This window comes from Homo sapiens, chromosome 3 (assembly GCF_000001405.40).
Source record: "Homo sapiens chromosome 3, GRCh38.p14 Primary Assembly".
In the NCBI taxonomy this organism is placed as follows: Eukaryota; Metazoa; Chordata; class Mammalia; order Primates; family Hominidae; genus Homo; species Homo sapiens.
Genome location: NC_000003.12, coordinates 161068137 through 161079348, shown reverse-complemented (window position 1 = coordinate 161079348; position 11212 = coordinate 161068137). Strand labels below are relative to the sequence as shown.

The window sequence follows — 11212 nt, the reverse complement described above, 5'->3', positions numbered from 1 at the left end:
TCTGTTCTGAACACTTTTCTCAGAGGTGCATCATGCTGTGTTGCTGGAGCCTACATCTGTGTATAATGTAACCCTTGTTACCTTATAGTAATTACTATATAAACTTTGTCGATGTGTTACTATAAAGCTGGGTAAAAGTTGTGTTAGGTTTACAATAAACATTTTTTGTTGCATACATTGTATATATGTTTATAAATTGCCTTGTTTTGAACCAGAGCCAGGCTTATTCCCATTCCAAATGAAAGCACCAAAGTCTCAAAACCTCCTGCCTCTTGCTTCTGTTAGGCTTTGGTCTTATCCTCTACCCATGAATTGTTTCTTTGCTTTCCACATAGAACCCTAGCTCAAGCTACTCCAACTCAAAAGCATAGAGAAATTATAAAATTCAAGAACAGATGTTAGAATGGAAAATGAGTTTAACTTAAAAGAATACCAGCAGTCTCATGTTTAAAGTCTAACAACTTTGTGTTTATTTTTGCTTTAATCTTGTCATGGGTAAATTTTTAGCTGTTCATTTTTATACAACACCACAGGATCAGAGATAGCATGAACACATTAGTCTCTACAAGGCTAATTCTACCCGAGCACCCATCAAAGCGACCCAAATGACACGCCATGCATCTTGAGTGACCGTGCACTGCCATATACTCTGAGCTCTACTACAGGTAATGTTACACCAAATTGACATTGTAACTGTGTTTCAAATGTCTCTTAGAGACAAATACAGATCAGTAGGTATAATAACCTCTGAAGACTTCCAAGAGTAATGAGGTTTCGCCAAGCCTTGTTGTATTTATCATGGATGGTTTTCAGGAAATAACTTACGAGAAAGCCTGATTGATTTTACAGTCATTTTGACCTGTGATTTATTTATTAAGTACAATTTGAAGATTCCTAAAATAAAGTATTGCCAATAAATTATAGATCCTGTATCTCTTTATAAACAAATAATCCCTTGTGATTTTTAAAGTTGCAAGAAAATGCTGATGGAAAAATTTTCATGATGTTGAAATAGGTATAAATAAAAGCTTATACAAAGCCACTGTCTCAACATCAGCAGGATAAGAGAGAAGAACTTCTGAGACATTATACTGTTCCCCAAAAAAACACTACTTTTTTTCCTTCCCCTTTTTCTCTCCTCACTCTGTGCTTTCCTCCTTTCCATCCTTAATAACTGAGCTCCATCTATGGTTTTAATCTTACTAAATCAGAAATTGGCTTGGTTTCATTTGAATTTCCTTTTATATGTGCTCATGATTAAAAACAAAACAAAAACCCTACTTTTGATCACAATCAGATCTTTACCGTCTCTAACCATTTACTGCCTAGTATATGAAGTATATGAATTATTCTAATTCAATAGGATTCTAATGCAATTTGGCAATAACTAGTATTATTTGGATTTAAAAAGCCATTGGCATAAACAGAGATGTTTAGGGGAAATGAGCAGGCAAGCAAATAATTTAGAAAGAAGTGATGGTTTCTGTGGTTAAAAATAAAAGTCTGGGATTTAGTTTTTCTTTGCCATACAGAAAACAGATGTTGCTATTTTTGTTCAAAATACAAAACTTAAATTCCATGCTTAGACTCTGGAATGTGTAAAGTAACTATGGATACCAAATTTATGATTTAAAAAAATGACATTTAGTCTTCTGTTCATATTTGAAATCAGGAAATAATTGTGCTCCTGAAATGTTAACTTTCTATATAACAGATTCACTGATTTACACTCAGGAACACTGAAGATACTCAGTTCTGGGCTGTCTTTGGGGGCATAAGGTTATTACACTAGTCTCTTGGGAACAAAAATAAAAATAGGCCATGGAGAGATGTTCTTGCTCCTCCCTTTTCTCCTTTTCTATAATCCTTCTCTTCCCCTAGAAAGATCTGGACAACCTGGCTTTCACCAGCCTACTGCTGCACCCTTGCACAGCTGCTGGCCCACTTGGGTGGAGGCTTCCAGTGGCACCCTCCACTGGGACAGTCCCACCCCCCTATCCTTGTCCCCAGAGGCTCCATGTCTCACTCCCCACCCCATCCTTCAGAAACTAGGTGAGCTAGTAAAATGGAGTAATTATCTTCTGCAGTTTGCTTGAGTGTTGGCAAGAAATTCCCAATCTCATATCACTTACTCTTATATGTGAGAAATAATTATTCTAATTCTGCCCTGTCCCAACAAATCTAAGCCCATTGGAAGAAATCATGAAGATAACAATTTTCATCCCATTGGGTCAATATTGAGTGTTATAATATCTCTGACACCCCAATAGGGTGTAAGCCCCAAGAAGGCAGTGATGGCGCCTGAGTGCTCACCATGGATACATTCACTCAGACACAGTCACTGCCTGGCACATAGTAGATGCTCACACAAAAAAGGAAAGAATAAAATATACAAACACACAGCAATAATAGTGACTTTCCCAATGTAATCTGTTCATAAGATTGATCAATCTGTTATAAATGCAATGATGCTTCTATTTATTTTTAAGAAAAAAACTCATACATTTTCCTTATACAAATTATGTATGTGAGCAGAGTTTACATTGGGGTCTTTTGGAATGAACTGTTTAATTACTATTTTCCAGGTTTGTCAGAATAATCATTTATCTGAACCCACTAAAATTTCTATTTGTCTTTCTCTCTCTTTTTTTTTTTCCTGGCTGCCCATGAGAATGCTGAGACATTATCAAATAGATTTCAATTCTGTGACCTGAACTGCAGTTGTGTAAGTGCTATAAATCAAAATCATTTGCTTTAGTAATTGAAGAGTAAACTGAAAGACAATATTGTAGATGTTAATGTTTCAATGTGAACATGTAATAAATTAAAAAGAACAAACACTGCTTTCTATAATAGAAGCAAAAGTTATGGGTTTTCTCCATGGTCATATTTTATTCATTATTCTACTTTCTGCACACTGTATATGCTTGAGATAAAACAATAACCAAGATGATAAATACATAAAGACTGTTAGTTGTAGTCTGGGAGCCTAAATCAGAGGAGTATTCTTGCTTAATGTCCCATGGTTCTAGCTTTTCTCCACAGAGCAGGATTTAGACGTTTTCATTACTACACGAAGAAGTCATCATTTGTCCTAAGATAGACAAATGGGAATTTAAAAGTTATACAAAAGACATCTTTTTCTTGGGTTAGAGATGTCTAATACATCATTTCTACAGGATTAATTTTTTTAATCATATGAGCAACCTGACCCATTGCATTATATGGATTAGAAAACTCTCTAAGAAGCAAGAATATCAAATCACTCTGTGGTTGGTTTTTGTGAAATTGTCTGTCGTAAATTGAGTACTCACTAGTATTCATGTTGGCATTTGCAAAATTACCACTATGTTAAAACTCGCTCCCAGTTGTACCTGTGACTGTGTTTATCTGACTTCAGTTTTACTGTCCACGATTTGGAACGTGAATGGAATCTGGGACAGTAAAGGTGTTGAGGAGAGCAATAAATGAGATCTCATGTATCCATTTTCATCAGAAAAAAATGGAATAGGGACTGCAATTTTACTAACTTCGCAAATAACTGAGAATGTTCATTTTCTCACTTCAATGTTATCTCCTTCACTAAGAGCGTAAGTACAGAAAGCATAATTCATGATGTAATAAACTATAACACCTCCTTTTCTTAATTTAAAATATTTCCTTTTATATTACTCTCCCTTGATTTGGGCTTCTGTATTTTCTTAAAAATGCTTTCCTTTACATTCTAATTTTGACCACACTGGAAACTGATTTTACAATTTTTTATTAAAAAGTGTTCCAAACCATTTTTCTTAAATGTGATTCTGCCCGTGCCATCAGTCCTACAAAAGGAAGCTTTAAAATTAAAATGCTGTCTTCATTAACAAATAAGCAAAGCATTAACCAATACTCTAAGAGACAAGCCCATTTTTTGAATGGTGAAAAGTGGTAACAACTGCCTTTTCTTCATCTATGTGCAGGTGTCAGAAATTACTATTAAACACAACCTATATATAGTAAAAATCTGATAATCCACATTTCTTATAAGCTACTTTTTACATTTTTAATGTCTGGGTATCCTAAAGGGGTTTTTCCCTGATACTTGACTATTACATCCGCCTTTGCTTCTGCATGAACACGTTTTACATCGTGAATTATCTAATTAATATAGAAATATTTTGAGATAATGCATGATATCATATTTAATTTATGAACTGCCTCATGACAAAAGGTAATGAGAGCTGATACAATCCCTCTCCTGAAGTGGCAGCGAGTAACCCGGGCAGGCTTTGCTCTGGGTCACTCAGCCCTCTCTCCACCACAATCTGCCACCAGTGCCCTTACAGTAATCTGCTTGTGCTCAATGTCCTCGGAGGTTTTTGAGATTAACTTGGATTTGGCAAATGTTAGGTGGGATTTTGTGTTTAAATAATGCAAGGTTATAGGACTTCAAGAATAAATGAAACCACATCTCTAAATACAGTCTATGCCTTTGCTGCATGCTTGCTTTTTGGTGGAGCTTTGAACAGGGAAACTGTCTGTGATGATTTGTTAAAATGAATACTTGCTACATGCTCTCCTCAAAGTCCTTAACTTGGATTTATTAAAGCAGTTGTACGTATGATGCTGTGGTTATTACTAAACACATAAAAATTATCAATAATCAACCCTAGCCTCAACAGTTTGCTGTTCAACAGTGGTAAAAATAACAAATAGACAAAGCATTAACATTACTAAGGATCAGCAAATTTACATATTAGAAAAAATGTTTAGAAATGCATCTATTGGAAGCTTCATGGTATCAACTGCCCCCTGCCCTTTGCAATCCGCCACCTAGCCTAAGAGATCTTACTTTTAGTTTTTTAAAATATTTTGGATAATGTGCAGAGGATGAGCTATTCCTAAATATTGGATGTAATTTTAAGTTAATGACTTTTGCCTTAATTCACTCTGTACCATGTTTTCGACTAGATTTGTTTCATCCATGACTTTGGGGTAATCTCTCATAGCTTCCCAAACCTATTTCTGCAGCCAAGAGTAACTACTGTGGAACTACAGGAAGGCCTCACATTTTAGGCAAGAGATAACATGCCAAACTTAACTATGTACATAAAACATGAAAGGTGGGATGATATGGGACAGGAGTTTTAGAAGGTATGAGCTCTAATTGATTTCAAATTATTTCACTGAATCCAGAGAGGACAATAAAGGAAAGAAAGTAAATAACTGTTAATAGTTTACATTTCAGTTATTATATAACAGATCATTAGTTTTAAAAATCGTTAAAATTTCAAAAGTGAATTAAAATCAAATTTCTGTTTTTCCTTTTCTGTGATTTTCTGTATATTTTTAAATATCATATAGTAATGAAATATAAAAATATTCATTTTGATTCAACCCAAAAAGCAAAGGTAACTGCAAAAAAGCAATGGAAAGATCTTGGAATGAATTTGAGACATATTTAGCTATGGCAGGGCTCTTGCTCATTATTCATATAAAAGAAAGGGATGGCCGGGTGCAGTGGCTCACACCTGTAATCCCAGCACTTTGGGAGGCCAAGGCTGGTGGATTACAAGGTCAGGATATCAAGACCATCCTGGCTAACATGGTGAAACCCCGTCTCTACTAAAAATACAAAAAATTAGCCAGGTGTGGTGGAGGCCGCCTGTAGTCCCAGCTGCTCAGGAGGCTGAGGCAGGAGAATGGTGTGAACCTGGGAGGCGGAGCTTGCAGTGACCTGACATTGCGCCACGGCATTCCAGCCTGGGTGACAGAGCGAGATTCCGTTAAAAAAAAAAAGGGGGGGATGATGTTTAGAGCTTTAAGTAGGATTGTTCTGCTATCAATATGAGGCTGCTGTTGGTCATATTAAGTCATACTACTTCTTAACACTGCTTTTATTAACAAGTCAGCTTCATATATGAAAGGCTCATGCTTCTAAGTTGCAAATTGTACTGCTACTAAGAGTCATCGTGAATGAAAACACAGCAATATTTCAATATACCAGAATTTCCCAAAGGGTGTTCTTTAGAACACAAGTTCCTTGCAGTGTTACTAGGTGCCACTCAAAAAAGTTTCTGTGGTCAAATTAATCTGGAAAACACTGGGCTAACTGACAGTAGATATTTGTTGTGTTTTTCTCTCCTCACAGGACATTTAAATTAGAGCCTTTGATGTGCTCATGTTCACTAACTTTCTAAGATGGTATGTGTTTTCCAAACTTATTTCATCCTAGAATCCTATATTTAGAAGAGCATCTTTGGAACTTGTGTTCTTTGGAACACACTTTGGGAAACACTGGATTCTATTATTTCTACAGCTAACTAGCTCAAAAGTCTAGCTATCAATGACTTAATCCAGAGGCAATTAAACAGGCATAGTATCTAACAGTCATGTCATTTCTCCAGAGCTGGATGACAAATGCTGGTGTGACATGCTAAGGCAATTTTGGGGAACTATTAGGGTATGAACAGTCTAGTTGTGGGTCAAAAGGAGGAAAAAAGAATTTCTGAAATCATTGGAAAAGTTTTATACAAAGTATATATTCCTATAGTTTCAAATATACAATGATATGCTGCCTTTTCTAAACACAGACCTTTCATTGACACAGTTGCAAGAGAGATCTGGCAACAACTTAGAGAACAAAAAAAATCAGGATAATCAAGATACACCTTGATACACAAGTTCCTTGCAATGTTACTAGGTGCTACTCAAAAAAGTTTCTGTGGTCAAATTAAACACAAAGGAAATTAAACGCAAAGGAAAACAGTGGACTCAATTTCCTAGAATCCAACAGTGGAATCAATTTCCTAGAATCACTTCAGATTCAATTGAAATGATGATGCCATCACTCTCATGCAATCCTGTTTGCCATTTACCCAAAATGATGTAATAATTACACTTGTATGAAATAAGGTCTGTTTTAAATTATCCAGCTTACATCCTTCACTATAACACTCTCTGTATAATATTCTTATGACATATACAAGATTCAAGAAGCCAATACCTCAGTCCACAGCAAGGAATAAAATGCAGCCACTGGTTACCAGTACTATGTACATATGTACACAGATATGTCACATTAGAACAGCAATTCAGAGTTAATTGCCTTGGGGCAAGTTGGTCATATAAAATAAATAATACAGGTCTTGGGAACAGCTTTGGAGCTTTCTATATGTGTTGTTTATTCCTATGATGAAAGAATTTTAGATACAATTAATTAAAAAAAATTTCCCTAGCTGTCCCTCCCCCAACCTATGTTAAGAGTACAAATTGCCAGTGGAGCAGCAGCAGAGCACTGCATTAATGGAGACCTGGGCCTGGCATCGTGCTGGGGTCTCAGAAGCACATGGCCATTCCTGTCTTCATTTCTAAAAGACTGTAAAACCATCCCAAAATTTGGCACCATGGGGACTATTGGCAATTCGAACTCGAGCTAGCTAGGGAGTCTAGGAAGCCTTGGGTGACAATTCCAAAGCTTTGGCAGTGCTGCTTAGGGAAGCTTCACATGCAAACATCTCAAATCAATTTCCCTAATGGCTAGATTCAGCATTCCCAGGTCCCTGGGGAGCAGCCAGTGTACCATAGGGCACCCCCAGGAGTGATGTCTGCACATCCCCAACAGCTGGAAAAGGGCTAGGGAGAGAGAGCTCCAGAAGGAAGGGAACAAAATACTCTGATTTTAGATATAACTATCCTAACAACTATTAATGAAACTGCTACAGTTTTGCCTAGAACTTCTATCTTTTGAAAATCTACAAGCCATAGTAGGGGGGAAAGAGGCAGTAATGGGAGTAGGATATATACACTCTATTTGGTTAACATCAGAAATGAATTAATTGTACAAAGCAAAATTTAGAAGACGCCTTGTGAACCTCAATTAGAGAGAAAGTTATGTAACTCGTGCACTCAGCACCATCTGTTAAGAAATTCTGCAGGGCACGTAACCACTGATTTACTAATTTAGTAGCTTTTCTTTTTCATCTTTATCAAAACACTGTTGCTTTCATTTTAGACAATAAAAATAACCGGAATTTAAAAATGTCTTTTCCTTGCTATTATACATTTTTGTGCTACGTTAAAAATAAAGAAAGTTGGCTATGGGCTGTAAAGTGCTGACACCATTGGTGCTGATTTCAGTTTGATGGTGGGTGGGGGCAACTCTTAGGAGTCAGAATGTCCTGAATTTCCAAGCAAACTCAGCCGCCTGGCCTGGCCATCTCAGCACTGCTCACAGCCAGCATTTGTTTTCCACATTCCCTTCCCTGTCCCCACCCCAAATATTAATACACACATCCACATATTCAGTGTCTCCCCATAGGCAAATGCTTAAATCTAAAATGGTGGCAGATATTTTTTACTAGAAGATTCTATGGCTAAAAAACAATAACCAAGGTTCTGTAATGCTGGAAAATACAGTATACAAAAGTAAGCAAATCTCATGGGAAATCATTAGCAATTCTCAGTGCAGTCAAAGAAAGTTAAGTGCTTGGAGAAATCAAGACAGATTGCAGCCCTCCACATCTACAAGGCAATTTCTTCACTCTCTCAAATTCTCTCCTGGACACTGCTTTGGGAAAACTCTACAGCAGCAGGAGGGGAGAGGGCAGGGTTCCACGGCGAGGAGGTGGCCGGTGAATGTGGCATATGGGAAGCTATAACCACAAATGCTCACAGGGAAAGAACAAAACCAGGTGGATACAGAGGGCTGGGAGGCAACGGAAGTTTCGTTTGGCTGTTTGAGTCACCTTAGGCAAAGAGAGTGACCCAGCATTTTCTCTAAATAATATAAAATACCAAGGTTGGAAAAATGATAAATTAGCGATACAGGAAATGGAGAGCAGCAAGCCAGGCCCCTAAATAATTCTGGCCCACTTATCAATATGGGTTCACGCTTGAATTCCTGACTTACTGTGTTGCAACTGCCAGGTCCCTTTGCTGCCTCCCCTGCAGGCCTGCAGGCCACGGGGCGGTTTGTATTTGCCTGGGGAAAGCTCCCTGATGTGGATGGAGATTTGCAACCAAATGTTGAAGACTGCTGCCTTTCCATTGTCAAGGAGAAGCTTATCCCAGTAGTTTCCCACCAAATCCCAAGCTGCAGTAGCTGGGAACTCTGCACCTGGCTTCAAGGAACACACATACAGTTATAGGCTGCTGCTTCTCAGAACACTGCCTGACACTTGAAAACCACTTGGAAAGGGGCAAGGAAAAACACAAAAACTGGCAGCTGGAGCTCAATTCAGGGTGGTAACCTCACCAGCTCACTCCTTTCTCAATGCAAACAGCTTACTTGCCAGGGAACACTGTGACTCATTCAGTATCATTTCCTTCATCTACTGTTGAAAATGGAAGGAATCATGGTATTGTGGCTTGCTTTTTTCATTTCCCCTAACGTGGTTTCTTGGTCACGTAAGATGAAAAATCAGGGTATCTGTTGGTGAATTTAACAGCTGCCTATTACATATGGTAAGGACTAAGCAAAAGGTTAACGGTCATGCATGATTAGGATAAATGCACAAAGGCTGGTCAGGTGGTATACAAAGTCTATTTAACTATTAAAGGAAGCAAGGGAAGAGGGTTATCTCTGCTGTGCAGGCAGTTGCCACTGGTCTCTCATTCTCTCTGCTTCTCGCAGTCCCCAAGAGCAGCCAAAATAGTAAACCATTCCAAATCTGCTTCCAAGCTGCTACTGAGCAGAAAACATGGGCTCAGAAGGACAAAGCATTCTCAGGACAGCTCTGTCTCTTGGCAGAGGGTGTTGCCACATCAGCCCCTGACCACTCACAGGTGACGCAGTGGCCTGTCTCCTGCAGCACTGGGTGGTCTGTCCTGTCCACTGTTACAAAGAGAGGACACAACAGCTGATGCCTGGAGGACCCTGAACAGGATCTTGAAAAGAATCTTCAGGGAGACTAAATGACACATATGCTATTCACTTCATATATGTGACTCTACAGCTATTTACTTATATATTTTGGACACTGGATGAAAGAGTTGGGAAAACATGAAGAAACCATTTTCCAGTTTCTTAACTACATTGGCCAAGGGCACCCTCTGTTCGTCACTGATTATAGACCTAAGACCACCAGGGAGGGGGGATTCCATGTCTGGGGTGGATGATCCTAATTACAACTCCCACACTTTTCACTAAATTAAAAGAGACCAGTGTGTTGAAAGTCCTTTAGTCTAAGGCAGCTGAGACCCCTGAAGGGTTCACTGCTCTTCTGTTTTGCTGCTATTTCTGAACTTCACCACCATGACTGTTATATTGTCAGGGCAGCCTCTGTAAAATGACTGTAAAACTATGCTCTTGGCCCCAAAGTGAGGTTCATCCAAGCGCTCCTTGATGAATCGAACTGCTTCTTCATTGCTGAAAGCATCCCAGAGACCATCTGATGCCAAGATCATGAACTCAGGCTGAAGCTTGTCCAGGTCAAAGGTCAGGATGTCTGGGTCTGGGATGACCACGTTGAGATTTTTCAGCGGATAATCCCCCAGGGACCGAGACATGGCCAGGATTCCCTGGACCCTCCAGGAGCCATTGAAACTGATGAAACCACCTAGAAAGACAGGATGAGCCCATTAGTTTGACCAGCTGATATCTCACTTACCTGGGATAGTCTAGGTACGTGCGCAACAGGGTGACCTACTTCATGTGAACTGGGCTGTGGGCACTCCCCTTAACCCCATCACTCCTGGGACCCACTGCATGGCCTGGGGTTTTATACTCTACCAGTTGATCCTCATACCCTCATCCTGGCATCTTGAAGGATTTCAATAATATATCAATAAGAGTACTGAAGGTGGCGGATACATATGGGGGAGGGCATTGGTTTTTAACTTAACACCGTGGTGGCTCAGTGATTGACAGTAGAGAGCATGAGGGTAGGGATTTGAGGAGAGTGGCAAAGGAATGCTGAAAGGCAGGTGAACAGGCACCGTATATATCATTTGGCCTGAGGCCACTCATAAGTGTGCCTATATAGGTCTCAAAACAGCTCTGTCCCCCCAAATAGGATCAAGATTAAGAAAAAGCACACACTAGTATAGTCATTAAAGGCTCAGGTCAGACTACTTGAATGTGATTCCTGGCTCTGTCTCTTCTAACCATGTCTCACTTTGGATGAGAAACTCTTTCTCTGATCCTCAGTCTCCCTGGCTACAAAATAGAGACAGTATCTATTTTATTGGGTTGTTGAGAAATGAAGGTCTTATTCCACATAAGTCATTTGGC

At 38.9% G+C, this 11212-nt stretch overlaps 1 protein-coding gene across 4 annotated transcripts in view, besides 1 other annotated feature; it reads right to left on the bottom strand.

Annotated features, from left to right (window-relative positions):
* Nucleotides 1–446: 446 nt before the first annotated feature.
* Nucleotides 447–11212, bottom strand: part of PPM1L (protein phosphatase, Mg2+/Mn2+ dependent 1L) — a 322672-nt gene continuing 311906 nt past the window's right edge. For all 4 annotated transcript variants that reach the window (NR_134243.2, NM_139245.4, NM_001317912.2 and 1 more), the window contains one exon: nt 447–10538. Coding sequence is in view for 3 of the 4 variants with exons in the window: in NM_139245.4 (NP_640338.2) it covers nt 10192–10538 (347 nt within the window). In the remaining variant the exon portion in view is untranslated. The remainder of the gene's footprint in view (nt 10539–11212) is intronic.
* Nucleotides 9604–9653: an enhancer, noted in NCBI's record as "active region_20767". NCBI's record gives its function as "activates an Ori minimal core promoter by ATAC-STARR-seq in GM12878 lymphoblastoid cells {active_cell/tissue: GM12878}" and the evidence as "EXISTENCE:reporter gene assay evidence [ECO:0000049][PMID:35858748]".